General features: G+C 59.1%; 1 protein-coding gene across 4 annotated transcripts in view, besides 2 other annotated features; it reads left to right on the top strand.

Moving 5' to 3' along the window:
- The window catches only part of LSS (lanosterol synthase), a 40,329-nt gene that overhangs the window by 7,698 nt on the left and 18,957 nt on the right, over window positions 1–13,674 (top strand). For all 4 annotated transcript variants that reach the window (NM_001145436.2, NM_001001438.3, NM_002340.6 and 1 more), the window contains 10 exons: window positions 1,505–1,601; window positions 4,553–4,688; window positions 5,284–5,392; window positions 5,779–5,897; window positions 7,242–7,339; window positions 8,025–8,052; window positions 10,333–10,389; window positions 11,452–11,523; window positions 12,776–12,826; window positions 13,500–13,649. In NM_001145436.2, the coding sequence (NP_001138908.1) occupies window positions 1,505–1,601; window positions 4,553–4,688; window positions 5,284–5,392; window positions 5,779–5,897; window positions 7,242–7,339; window positions 8,025–8,052; window positions 10,333–10,389; window positions 11,452–11,523; window positions 12,776–12,826; window positions 13,500–13,649 (917 nt within the window). The remainder of the gene's footprint in view (window positions 1–1,504; window positions 1,602–4,552; window positions 4,689–5,283; window positions 5,393–5,778; window positions 5,898–7,241; window positions 7,340–8,024; window positions 8,053–10,332; window positions 10,390–11,451; window positions 11,524–12,775; window positions 12,827–13,499; window positions 13,650–13,674) is intronic.
- Window positions 71–572: an enhancer, noted in NCBI's record as "H3K4me1 hESC enhancer chr21:47640419-47640920 (GRCh37/hg19 assembly coordinates)". NCBI's record gives its function as "activates a minimal SCP1, AML or CMV promoter by ChIP-STARR-seq in primed H9 embryonic stem cells {active_cell/tissue: H9 hESC(primed)}" and the evidence as "EXISTENCE:reporter gene assay evidence [ECO:0000049][PMID:30033119]".
- Window positions 1,539–2,439: an enhancer, noted in NCBI's record as "H3K4me1 hESC enhancer chr21:47638552-47639452 (GRCh37/hg19 assembly coordinates)". NCBI's record gives its function as "activates a minimal SCP1, AML or CMV promoter by ChIP-STARR-seq in primed H9 embryonic stem cells {active_cell/tissue: H9 hESC(primed)}" and the evidence as "EXISTENCE:reporter gene assay evidence [ECO:0000049][PMID:30033119]".

Genomic DNA, 13,674 nt, shown 5'->3' with positions numbered 1-13,674 from the left:
AACTGTCTACTTCTCCAAGCCCTGGTCTGGCTACCTCTCCAAGCCCTGGCTGTCCACCTATCCAAGCCCCGGCCTGGCTACCTCTCCAAGCCCCAGGCTGTCCACCTCTCCAAGCCCCAACTGTCTACCTCTCCAAGCCCTGGCCTGGCTACCTCCCCAAGCCCTGGGCTGTCCACCTCTCCAAGCGCCAACTATCTTTCTCTCCAAGCCCTGGCCTGGCTACCTCTCCAAGCCCCAGGCTGTCCACCTCTCCAAGCCCCAACTGTCTACCTCTCCAAGCCCCGGCCTGGCTACCTCTCCAAGCCCCTGGCTACCTCTCCATGCCCGGCCTGGCTACCTCTCCTCTTGCCTATAGGCCCTGAGGGGCAATTCCAGCCCAAGGGAATCCATGGCTCCTGCTGCTCCAAGAAAACCTAGTTTATGTTGTGGCTCTGCAGAGCCTGGCCTGGTCTTGTCCTCTGTGTTTCACAGACCTTCCGTAGCCAGTCCCACCTGCCCTGCTCTCTGCTGCATGCGCAGGGGCCTCCTGTCAGCTCCTCAGAGACCCTTATTATCCCAGGGCTCGCCATGCACTGCCTCCTTCGCCTGGAGCCTCTTACCTTCCACTCCTGCCCCGCTGGCTCACACTTTACGTGTTCCTTCTTTGAGGACCTCTTCCTGACCTACCGTGCCAGGTGGAGTGTCCTGTTACGCATTCTCATGAGATCCTGCCTTCTTTCTTGGTGAGCTTGTCACTATTGTCCTCAGTTCACTGTCAGCCTTTGGTGTCGTTGATGCTGCGTCCCCAAGGCTGCTGTCCGGTTCCCACCACACTCCTGGCGCCTGCCTGGTGAAGGAACGTGTTTAGGCTGCACTTTGCCTAGTAGCTTTGTGGGTCTTTATTGACTTTTGCATACCTTTTGGGGTTTGGAGCAGGGACTCCTCAGAAGCATGTTTAGATGGTGTGGCTGTGCCAGGACTGCTGCTGCTGAAGTGGCTCTGGCATGGGGCCAGCGTGCCGGAGCTACTCTGGAGTCTAGGGTCGTCTTTGTTCCCATACAGGACCAGTCTGCCAAGTGGAGATGACACAGACTGGGGCAGCTCAGGCTTGGCTCAGAGGGCGAGGCTGAGTGTGCGCTGTCACTTCCCCACCTTGCCTTCTCCAGGCGCATGTGCACCTGGGCCCCTCGCTCACCTGAGCACTGAGGTGTCCCTGGACCTTCCCAGGTAGCTGTCTTCATGTGCTCCTTCCTGGGGCCAGGGGTTGCAAACACCTCTCCTGGGGCTGGACACACACACTCCCAGGAAAGCCACTGGTTCCACCTAGGGGGCCGTGTATCCAGGCAAGTTCTCAGCACTCTGGAACCTGCTTCGCACATGGGGGTCGCAAGATCCACATGAGGCTGCCCTTGCCTCATGGAGAGGGGCACACGTGACTCCCAGAGGGTGAAGCTTCCCAGCTAGAGGCAGTGCAGACTTTGCTGACAGGAAGCAGATGACGTGGGCCTATTCTCTCCCCGCTCAGGTGGTGCTGTGGCCATCCCCTCCTGGGGGAAGTTCTGGCTGGCTGTCCTGAATGTTTACAGCTGGGAAGGCCTCAATACCCTGTTCCCAGAGATGTGGTATGTCTGCTGTTGATTGGGTTGTTGGGTCGCTGCTGCTGTCCCGGGGAGTAGAGTGACAGGGACCGTGGGTCAGGTGCAGGCTGTGACAGCAGAGAGGGGTGGGCATTCTGTGGGTGGGTGGAGTTAGGCTCCTGGCAGAGGCCCTGATCAAGCTTGAGTCCTGTAGGGGTACAGAAAGGGGGAGGTTCCCAATTGAGCAGGAAGAAGGCTGTGCCATGGATGGAGGTACCCCGAGTCAGGCTGCAGGCAGGGCTGGGTGGCTTCCCTCTTGCTGTGGAAGACTCAGCATCTGTAGAAGTGGGGGGGTGCCCCTCCCCCAGCCTGCACAGGGGCGTCCTGTGTTGCTGCTGCTGCGTTTGTCTCCTTTGCTGGTGAATGTGAAGTGTGTCCCGACGTGACACCTCACCTGTGGACTCAGCGTGTGTGCCTTTAAAAGATCAGTGTCTGTGGCCAGGTGGGGTGGCTCATGCCTGTAATCCCAGCACTTCGGGAGGCCGAGGCGGGCAGATCACGAGGTCAAGGGATCGAGACCATCCTGGCCAACATAGTGAAATCCCGTCTCTACTAAAAATACAAAAATTAGCTGGGCGTGGCGGCGCGTGCCTCTAGTTTCCAGCTACTCGGGAGGCTGAGGCAGGAGAATCACTTGACCCTGGGAGGCAGAGGTTACCGTGAGCCGAGATCGTGCCACCATATTCCAGCCTGGCGACGGAGTGAGACTCTGTCTCAAAAAAAAAAAAAAAAAGATCAGTGTTTGTTTTTTTAAACAGAACCACATACTGTTTAAATACCCAGCAAAATCAACATTAATTTCTTATTATCTGGTGTGTGTTTTTTTTGTTTTGTTTTGAGACGGAGTCTAGCTTTGTCACTCAGGCTGGAGTGCAGTGGCGTGATTTGGGGTCACTGCAACCTCCGCCTCCTGGATTCAAGCAATTCTCCTGCCTCTGCCTCCCGAGTAGCTGGGATTACAGTCTCAGGCCATCACGCCCAGCTAATTGTTGTATTTTTAGTAGAGACAGGGTTTCACTATGTTGGCCAGGATGGTCTCAAACTCCTGACCTCAGGTGATCCGCCTGCCTTGGCCTCCCAAAGTGCTGGGAGCCATGAGCCACTGCTCCCGGCCTTATGTGGTGTCTTGTAACATTTTATGGCTATCTATTGAAAGCAGTGGACATCTCCCCAGAAAACACTCGTGCATATGAGTTTACCCCGTTATGCATTTTGGGAAGTGAGACCCTGGAACCACACAGAGCCCCTGCTGGCTTCCTTGAGTGTTGTGGGAACCCTGGTGGGGGTGTCCCCTAGAGAGCTATCAGCAGGGCTGGGGGGGTCCCTTGTGTTAGATGACTTTGGTGCGGGGGTGGGGGGTGGGGGGTCAAGTTAGGGGAGGCAGGAAGTGAAGGGGCCGCTCAAGAAAGGACAGCAGCAGTGTCCTGATGCAAAGGCCGGGGGCTTAACCCCGGAAGCCAGTTTGGGTGGTGACGGGGAGGCACAGGGATGGTGAGATCACCCCGGGAGGGTAGACAGAGATACCAGAGTAGGGGGCAGGGTTAGGGTGCCGCTACCTGAGGCGGGCCGTAGAGCACATAGGTTGGGAGGTGTCCTGGGGCCATTCAAATGCCCGCTGGACTCTGCGCCTCGCCCGTGTGTAATGAGCGGCAGAGGAAGGACTGAGACGGCAGTCAGCACAGCTGCCAGGGCAGGAGGGGTGTGGGTTCCACACGCTGGTGCTGGTGAGGGCGTCTCATCTGCCCCACTTGGGGGGGCCGTCGGTCAGTGCTGCCGCATGGGCACGCCAGGGTGCTGCTTGTCTTTGCTGGAGTTGCTTGGAGGGTGGGTTGGGAGGTGAAAGGAGGACCACAGACCTGAACCACTCCAGCTGCGAAATGCTGGAAGTGTAACCCAAAATGTGAGAAAAAAAAACACCCTTTTAAGTAAGTGGGTGTGAAAGTGGGCCAAGGCCTGATGCCACAGTCAGGGAGCAGGGAAGGCTCAGCATTGCTCACCCTCACTTAAGGATGGGGCTAGCATCACATAAGGCATCACATAAGGATGGGGGCTAGCAGGGAAAGGGAGAGAAAACACATGAGGCACACACAGACCCTGGGAAGCTGGTGGAGCTGTGCTAACGTCAGCAGACCAGTGATCAAAGACCCAGGCCTTGGGGAGATTCCACAGACCTACAGTTTCTTTTTTCTTTCTTTTTCTTTTCTTTTTTTTTTTTTTGAGACAGAGTCTCTCGCTCTGTCACCAGGCTGTGTGCAGTGGCACAATCTCGGCTCACTGCAACCTCCTCCCAGGTTCAAGCGATTCTCCTGCCTCAGCCTCCCGAGTAGCTGGGACTAGAGGCACACACCACCATGCCTGGCTTATTTTTGTATTTTTAGTAGAGATGGGGTTTCGCCATGTTGGTCAGGCTGGTCTCAAACTCCTGACCTCAAGTGATCCACCAGCCTCGGCCTCCCAAAGTGCTAGGGTTACAGGCGTGAGCCACCGTGCCCCTCCTAAAGTTTCTTAAATACACTTTTAAAAGTAAACTTTAAATTTTGGAGTAGTTTCCAATTTCTGGAAAAGTTGCAAAGATAGCCAAGAGTGTTCCCTGGGGCCCTCACACCATATCCCCATTGTTGATGTTTTATGTTACCAAGGTACGTTTGTTGTAGCTAAGAAACCCACGGACAATCCTAAGCATTTAGGAGCTCCATCACCTGGTTTTAGGATGCAAAATGCTGACCGAACTAGGAGGTGCAGCTCCTCAGAGGGTGCACCTATGGTTCAACTGTGCCCCTCAGGAGCACGGTTGGGAAATGCCCGCAGATGCACTGACGTGGTGGGGAATAGCCATCCACCAGTGTTCGTGCTTGAAAGGGCCCAAGGTATGGATGCTGGCGGAGGGGGCAGGCTTGAGTCTTGGGGTCTCCCACTGACTCCTGCTGTTGCCCCAGGCTGTTTCCTGACTGGGCACCGGCACACCCCTCCACACTCTGGTGCCACTGCCGGCAGGTGTACCTGCCCATGAGCTACTGCTACGCCGTTCGGCTGAGTGCCGCGGAAGACCCGCTGGTCCAGAGCCTCCGCCAGGTAGGACCTCATCAGGGAACAAAGTGAAGGCCTCTGGGGCTGGGACCCACAGGGCCTGGGGCTTCTGGAATCTAACCACACCTGTCCACTCACCTGGTGGCCCTGTGGAGCGGAGAGCCCTGTGGAGCAGAGCCTCCACCTTCCTCCATCCTATAATAAACAGTGAGCAAGCTCTGCCCAGAGGGGACTTGTGCTATGGGACAGTCAGTAGCTGTAGCCCAGGGTTCCTGGGGGGGACTTCCAGGACTCAAGGGATGCAGGAGGCAGATGTGCACTGTGTCCTCTGGAAGCAGGCCTGAGGCGAGGTTTGAGGTGCAGGATGTTTATCAGGCCTGCCATGGGGAAGAAGGAGGGGCAGAGGGAGGAAATGAGCTTCTGGGCAGACCTGGGACTCATGGAGCTGGGGAGCTCCTCAGAGCGGTCCTCCCATAGGGGGCCTTCATGTGGCCTCGGGGTCAGTTGCTGGAGGGACCCCCACCCAGGAAGGGACTGGCCCAGGGCCCTGAGGGCGGATGGTGGGAGGCCACCCCTCCTGGTTTGAGCCAGGCCTACCAGGTGCTCCCAGGCCCCAAGGCTCAGACACTGCCCCCACCAGGAGCTCTATGTGGAGGACTTCGCCAGCATTGACTGGCTGGCGCAGAGGAACAACGTGGCCCCCGACGAGCTGTACACGCCGCACAGCTGGCTGCTCCGCGTGGTATATGGTGAGCGCCTCCTGAGGGGCCGGCAGGGCAGCCCAGGGTCAGGGTCAGGGTGTCGCCCACTCATTCACGCACTCATCCCCTGCCAGCGGCACTGGGCCACCTCCTCTGTGCCAGGCCCCAGGGGGCGGGATCTCATCGCCCTGCCCCTCCACCCTGAGAACCAGCTGGTCTTCTACTCTCAGGAGTCCACCCTGTGCAAGGGTGTGTGGTAGGAGGTGTGGGGCAGCCCCTCCTGGGCAGGGAAGGAGGAGCTCAGAGACCAGGCCTGGGGGTGGGTGGGAGGGGGAAACCCTGGGAAGGGCAAGTCCAGGCGTTGCAGTGCATGGAGCTCCAGGCTGAGGCCAGTGTCATGGTGTCTGGCATCCACTGACCCCTGTCCCCTGTAGCGCTCCTCAACCTGTATGAGCACCACCACAGTGCCCACCTGCGGCAGCGGGCCGTGCAGAAGCTGTATGAACACATTGTGGCCGACGACCGATTCACCAAGAGCATCAGCATCGGCCCGGTCAGTGCCCCTGCCCGGCCTCTGACTGCAGCCCCTGGGGGTTGAGGTCCGAAAGTGAAGTCCTAGAGGCCGGGCTGTGAGCTGGGAGTGGGGTTTCCTGGAGCCTGGTGTACCTCCATTTGGGAGGTGGCCCTCTGATCGCACAAGTGTCTGAGGGCTTCTGTCCTGGACCCCTGCACGCCCAGCTCAGTGAAGTTGCCCCACCACACTCGACCCCCCGCTTCCGTCCCCCACCGGCTCTTGTCCTCAGTGTGCCTGGACACTCTCCTAGAGGCCCCTCCCTGAGATCTTGCTGGCTAGCTGGCTAGCTGGGAGGGGTGCTTTTTCCTCACTTGGTTCCCTCTCCCCAAACAGTTCATCATTCGCCATTCTCCCGTGGGGTTTAGACATGCCCAGGGTGGGTGGGAGTAGCAGGTGCCACTCCTGATTCCTCCTGCCTAGCTAGGGACTTGGAGCTCTCACCTCTGTGGGGCCTGCAGGGGTCCAGGTGTGGCCAGTTCAGTGACCTTAGAGGGTGCAATTCCCGGGCTGTGCTGGTGCGTGGCCGCCTCCTGACAGAGTCAGCAGGCCCTGGGCTGTGCTGCAGCTGCTGCCATAGCTGTGCGCGTAGCTGCTGCGGTGTAGTGGGTTGGCTTAGGCATTCTCTGGACATACCCAGGTGGCACTGGGCCACTGAGTCCCACCCTGACACTGCATCTCGGATTTTCTGGGCCTCATGCCACCTCAGTGGATCACAAATCCTGACTGACCCTGCAGCGGGTCCCTTGTTTTTTGCTCAGCAGTGATGTGGTTCTTTGTGGGTTTTGGTTTAATCCCATATAGAGCACATCTGTACTAAACGCATTAGAAACATGCTTGCAATTGGATCTTGACTTGTGAGATGCATAAGTAAAAAGTTGGGGGCCTCTGGAACATTCTGTTCTGAGGAAGAAGGGGGGCAAGTGGTCCCTACTGCTACAGTCCTGTCTTCGCATCTCTTCCTGGGCCCCTCAGGCCCTGTCCTCTGTCCCCTGTGTTGTCTCTAAGGCACCTGGTAGCCCATGCCCCTCTGGTTTCTCCTGGAACCCCTCGCTTCTCCCTGGTGGAGTGCTGCTCCTTCTCACAGCCTAAGGCAGGCTGTGGCCTTGGCCGACACTGCCTCTGTCTGAGTTGGGTCCTGGGGACACAGTTGTTGCCCATCCTCGCTCAGGAAATGCCTGTTAGAGCAGAAGGCCCCTGTCCTGGCCCTGAGTGATCTGCACGGCACTTTATGCCTGGGGGCTGCTGTGGATCTGGACGAGACCTTGTCCCTGGAGGCTGCTGTGGGTCTGGAGCGGAGCCTTGACAGGGCTGTCTCTCCTGCAGATCTCGAAAACCATCAACATGCTTGTGCGCTGGTATGTGGACGGGCCCGCCTCCACTGCCTTCCAGGAGCATGTCTCCAGAATCCCGGACTATCTCTGGTGAGTGTGGCTGGGATATGCTGGCGGGGCCTCTCACGAAGACTGGATCTGAGCCCCAGCTGCATCCCAGTGAGGGGGCCCCCACGGTGCCATCTGGGAATACTGCCAGGGAATACCTCCAGGAACCAGCAGTGTCAGGGCTTGTGGAAGCCACTGAGGGTTGTCTTTGAATTGGAAGATTTGCCACCCAGTGGAAGTGTGGGGTGTTCCCAGAAGGTAGAGTGAGGAAGGGGGTGGTAGGTAGCAGGGCAGGTTCAGGTTGGCATCAGGAGGCCTGTGGACAAGGGGAGCTTGTCAGCCATGGACTGTGCCCTGGAGGTGGGGCCCCTGTCATGGAGGGCAGAGAGCCGTCCCATGGTGGGAAGCTTCCGCTGTACAGGCCTCTTCCTCTGGTGCCTCAGCACTGCACGAGGGCGGCAGGGCTGGCACAGCCTGGGGTCGGGGAGCCTCCCGCTGCCCCTTGCCTTGGGTGTGGCCCTTCTGGGTGAGTGTGTCCTGTTTTCCATAGAGTGTGGCCCTCACCCCCAGGAGCCCAGCAGCCCAGCTGGGGTGGCATCCAGGCCAGTGCCAGGCCTCGGGAGGGGACAGACGGCCTCTCTGGGACCCTCCTGAGTGCAGGGTCTGGGTAGCAGCTGGGCTTCCAGCTTTCTCCTTGCACCTGACTTGGGCTTTTTTCTCCTCACAGGATGGGCCTTGACGGCATGAAAATGCAGGTAAGGGCTGCGGGACTGCGGCTGCATGCTTCCTTTGCAATCATGTCTCCCCTTTATTATTTTTCCTTTGGGGTTCAGAAATAACTCCTCCTGGACCAGGTCCCGGCAGCGTGCGACTAGAGGCTGAGTCAGTTGAGGCCTCTGGCCGTGTCCCTGTGGGTGCTGTTGGTCTCTGTGTGGGTGCCCACCGTTCTCGATGTCTGTCTGCAGCTGTCCTGTTTGCTTTTTGCCCTGATGATCTGAGTGGGCTCAGCTGTGTAACGACAGACCCAGAGCTGCAGAAGCTCTCATCTTGTTACTGTGGCAGGAGGTGGCTCTGGTTAGTGGGGGCTTCTCCTCCATGCACTCTTAATTTAAGGGGCTTCTTCTTAAAGGTCCTGGGTGGACAGGACAGGAGCCTGGAGGACCGTGGTGGCGTGTGGCCGGGCCTGGGAGCTCCCCGTGGACTTGGCCTGAGTGGGCTGGAACCCAGTCATGAGGGGCACCAAGCACAAGGAGAGGGGAGGCCGGTGGATCCTGGCTGACCCTGGTCCTGTCCTGGCTCTGGGGGCCCTGTAGACCGCAGTCCTGTCCGACTGGGCTGAGCCTGCGCCCCTCTGTGCGTGTCAGAAGCCCAGACAGTGTTGCCCTGTGTCTTGTGGTCTAAGGAGGGTTACGCCCTGCGGTGCCTGTCTTCTGTCCCCCACCTGATTCAGTGTGGAAATGTGGAGTCTCCAGAGGTGTCCTGGGTGTCACATTTGGGATGGATACACGTGGGCCCAGCACTGCCCGCCCCAGGGCTACCCTTGGTGCCAGGTGCCCCCAGCCACGAGCTTTTACCCAGCTGGCCTTGAGCTCCCCAGAGGCTCCCCGGACACTGTCCGTGTTTTGTGAAAAGGTTTTCAAAACACATGTAAAGTGGAGGTGAGTAGCAAGCCCTAGAGCAGGCCCTGGCCTCCCTGCCCCTCCCTGTCCCCTCCCTGCCCCTCCCTGCCCAGCGCTCCCTCAGCACCGACTCATCAGTGCACCTCAAGCTGATGAGGGCGTCTGTGTTTTGACAAAATTGCTCTGAGGTTGTCACACCCAACAAACTTATGACGGTTCCTGAGTGTAGTCCTCACGTTGTGGCTGGTGTTTGTGAATCAGGATTCAGGCCAGGCCTGCACAGGCCTTCAGTTGTTGGTCTTTGAGCTCCTGTTAGTCCAGCCGTCTCTCGTGGTCTCTTTTCTCCTCCTGGAAGGTTTGTTCCTGAAGGGCTTCACATTGCAGATCTGACTGGTTGCTTCTTATGTTCCCTGAGTTTTTGTAAACTGGCCAGGCCCTGAGGCTCGATCCCATTGTGTTTCTTTGGCGAGAATGCTTTTCTGGTGGTCCCTGCCTTGTCCCTCCAGTGCACGATGTCTGGATGCCTCTGCCACACACCACCCCCTGCCCAGTCCCCATGTCTGTCTGGTCAGTGCCCAGCTCTGTCTCACTAGGGTTTGGTCACCGGCCCTTTGAACTGAGACCAGGCTGTGTACCTGTGAGCCCAGCTCGGGGTGAGATTTGAGGTGGAGCCTTCCCAGCCCTGTGCAGAATTCCCATCACCTCCAGGTGTACTCAGAAATGGGGATCATTGGCCAGGTGCGGTGGCTCACGCCTGTAATCCCTACACTTTGGGAGGCCAAGGTGGGCGGATCACAAGGTCAGGAGATAGAGACCATCCTGGCTAACATGGTGAAACCCCGATGCTACTAAAAAATACAAAAAAAATTAGCTGGGTGTGCTGGCAGGAGCCTGTAATCCCAGCTACTCCGGAGGCTGAGGCAGGAGAATGGCGTGAACCCAGGAGGCGGAGCTTGCAGCGAGCTGAGATCACGCCACTGCACTCCAGCCTGGGCAACAGAGCGAGACTTCATCTCAAAAAAAAAAGAAATGGGGTCATTTCCAGGCATCACCATGACTGAGGTGCGCCACTGTCATTGGGTGAGAGCAGCTGGATGCTCTATGTGTAGGTGCTGGAGCCTCTAAGGGATCGTCCAGTCCTAGAAGTGTCCTCAGAGGGACACTGTCCTGCCTGGTGGCCCATGAAGAAAGGGAGGGCTCCCTGAGTCTCCCCGACGTGTGTCTGCCTGCAGGGCTCAGCCTTCTCTGAGGCCCTTGTCAGCCATGAGGGGTGCCCAGGGCTCAGAGCCTGAGGCTGAGCGTTGGCTGGGTGGGAGCCCCCACACCTGGCCCTCAGGCGCCCATTGGATCCTGGAGGCAGTGGCTGGGAGTGGGAGGGGCTGCATCTGCTGCTGTAACACCATCCTTTGTGTGTAGGGCACCAACGGCTCACAGATCTGGGACACCGCATTCGCCATCCAGGCTCTGCTTGAGGTTCGTGGCTCCTTCTCTTTTCTCAGCCTCAGCTGACCTTCCTGTGCACGTGAGCCCACGCATCCACCTGAGGGCAGCACTGCTGGCCACACACTTGCCACTCCTCGATACTTCCAGTGACCTGGGCTCTGGCCTCTGGCTTCAGAGGGTCGTGCTGTGGAGGGGGCGGCCTTGGCCAGCAGCCTTGGGTGTTGGGCTGGGTCGGGGGCCTTGGGAGGGCAGGGGCTGGAGGCTGTGTGAGAAGGGGAGTCTGGTGAAGGCTGTTTCTGAGAGTGCAGGCAGGAGTGGGACTCCAGGCTCTTCTTAGAACTGGAACTGCTTGGGCCAGGCACGGTGGCTCACACCTGTAATCCCAGCACTTTGGGAGGCCGAGGAGGGTGGATCACGAGGTCAGGAGTTCAAGACCAGCCTGGCCAAGATGGTGAAACCCCGTCTCTACTAAAAGTACACAAAAATTAGCCAAGCGTGGTGGCGGGCACCTGTAATCCCAGCTACTTGGGAGGCTGAGGCAGAGAATTGCTTGAACCCGGGAAGTGGAGGGTGCAGCGAGCCGAGATTGTGCCACTGCACTCCAGCCTGGGTGACAGAGAGAGGCTCCGTCTCAAAAAAAAAAAAAAAAAAAAAGAACTGGAACTGTTTGTTATGGGCATTCTCGAGCCAGTACTGGAGAAAAACGAGAGTGGATTTTTATGCCGGTGGGAATGAGGTAGGTGGGATTCTGAAGGTGTTTCTGGAGAGCCCTGAGGGCTGGGCCACGCAAAGGGCCTGCCTACACAGGGTGCTGGAGACCCTCTGGGCATGGATGCTGGCCAGGCAGGGGGGTGCTGGCATCCATAAATGGTCTCCTGCGCCCTTCCATCTTCAGTCATATCTCATGGACTTTTGCTGTTTTGTCTTTAAAGGTAAGTGCAGCAGGAGACCCTGGCACTCTCTGGAGATGTCTGCTGGTTTGATTCTGGTCCCCGGTTGGGGCAGGATGTGGCCAGGACCATCGGGAAACCAGCGCAGCCATGCTGGCCGTGCAAGGGCAGCTGAGCCTCTCTGTCCTGCTGTCTCTTCCAGGCGGGCGGGCACCACAGGCCCGAGTTTTCGTCCTGCCTGCAGAAGGCTCATGAGTTCCTGAGGCTCTCACAGGTGAGGCCGGTGCCTGGGGCTCTGAGGGGGCTGAAGAGGGGGATCAGGGCTGGGAGCTCCTGCAGGCAGAAGTGCCCACCTCACCTCCACCCTGCCCTATTTCCTGCACTGGTGTTTCAGGTCACCCCCACCCTCCCATCCCCTCCCTAGCCCCTGCTCCATCCACCGGTCCTCCTCGGGCTGGCCTCACCTGGGGCAGCTCTCTGAGGCCTGCAGGGTGCTGGGGGTGCTGGCAGTTTCTGCGTCCTGCTCATGTTGGAGCCACTGTGTGCAAGGGCCAGGCACGGGCAGGGGCTGTGTACCCTGAGCTGCACAGCCTACACGGCACCTCCATGTCTCTGAAGCACCTTCTGCCCATGGAGGTGACGCCAGCCTGTGGACTTGCCCTCCTGAGACTGTTTGCAGCAAAAGCCCCGGTCCCTCCTGCCAGATCAGCTGCCCACAGACCCTGCCCGAGCCCATAGTTTGACCTCAGTGTCTCTCACACGTGCCTGCACCCCAGTCTGCAGCCACAGTCATCCCATACATGCGCCCCAACCTCCCGTGTCTCCCACACCCTGTCCCGGCCACGGCCTCAGCCAGTGTCCCTCTGCCTGGAACCGCTGCCCCCCAGCCCCGTCTCCCTCCCTTCAGCTCTCACTAGGACATTGTTCTGCAGGGCTTCTGGGTCTTCCTGGCCTCTGTGTGGCCAAGGCTGGCACCCATCTTGGGCTCAAGCAGAGGAGGGGCATTGTCCTGCTGTGCCTGGCCCAATGGTGGCCTGCTCCTGCTCCTGCCTCCTGCCCAGGACTTGCTCTGGGTGATGGGGACTTGGGGAGGCTGACTGAACCCTACGGCACTCCAGGCCTCTTCCCTTCTCACTGAGGTGAGAGAGGCAGCCAGAAGCTGAGGTTGTTCAGGAGGCATTGGGGGCGCCTGGCACAGAGCACACCCGCAGAGACCTGGGCCCCCTCCCTGCCTTCTGGCCGGTGGGGAGATCACAGGGGAGTCAGGTGCTGACTCCCAGTCCCGTCTGGGCTGGTTTGAGCCCTCGCTGGCCAGTCACGTTTCCCAGCAGCTGTGGGTGGTGAGCTAAACAGGTGCAGGCCCTCGCGCGCCTCGCAGCACCAGTGGTGGCTGTGGCCGGCAGAGTAAGCTCCCAGGCACGTTCTGCCTCTCCAGTCCTGCCCAGTCTGTCTCAGCGATGTCCCAGATGGGGACGTCCCGTGGTGACGTGTTCTCTGCTTCCACATTTGCCCTCGATGCTGCCCAGGTCCCAGATAACCCTCCCGACTACCAGAAGTACTACCGCCAGATGCGCAAGGTATGCGGGAGCCAGCCCCATCCCTGTCCCGTCCCCCAGGGGAGGCCGCCCTCAGCAGGGTGGGTCCTTCCCTCTGAAGGGGGGGCTCCTCCCTGGGGGACTCCTCCCTTGGCGTTTTTGGGTGTCCTGCTGTGGTGGATGCCTGGCCTAGGGGCTCATGCTTCATGTTGCTGAGCTGCCTGGCACATGGAGGCACAGTTGGCTTGCACACACAGCCGTGCCTCAGAGCAGTTCCAGTGGTCACGGCACACACAGGCTTCAGAAGGACAGCCGAAGTGTAGCCAGTGTGTCCGGGGAAGGCAGAGGAAAGAAGTAGACCTCAGAGCCGGTGTGGGCTGTGACCACAGGTGCAGACTGTGAAATTAGGCATGGACCCAGCTGCTGCTGCCTGTTTACAATGGGGGTGGGGGGCACCTGGGCCCCATCCTGTCCGTCGTGAGATCTGCAGGTGTTGAGGGTGTGAGCTGCACCCCTGAGGGTCCCTGTGCTGGAAGCTGGAGGTCTGTCTGGATGTACCCAGCTTGGGGCCCTGGCTGCACCCACACCTTTGGTGGCTGGGCCCCTGCCCTGACCGGGTGCTCTGTGGTGGGGAGGGATGCGTGCGGCTGTGGGGAGGTTCTGAGAACTGGGGTGTGGACACCCCCAGCCTGGAGTCATGGCTTGTGCTCTGCAGGGTGGCTTCTCCTTCAGTACGCTGGACTGCGGCTGGATCGTTTCTGACTGCACGGCTGAGGCCTTGAAGGCTGTGCTGCTCCTGCAGGAGAAGTGTCCCCATGTCACCGAGCACATCCCCAGAGAACGGCTCTGCGATGCTGTGGCTGTGGTAAGGCTGTGGTCCCAGCAGCCCC

This window comes from Homo sapiens, chromosome 21, assembly GCF_000001405.40.
Source record: "Homo sapiens chromosome 21, GRCh38.p14 Primary Assembly".
In the NCBI taxonomy this organism is placed as follows: domain Eukaryota; kingdom Metazoa; phylum Chordata; class Mammalia; order Primates; family Hominidae; genus Homo; species Homo sapiens.
The sequence above is the reverse complement of the archived record's forward strand: the minus strand, read 5'-3'. Positions and strand labels throughout refer to the sequence as shown.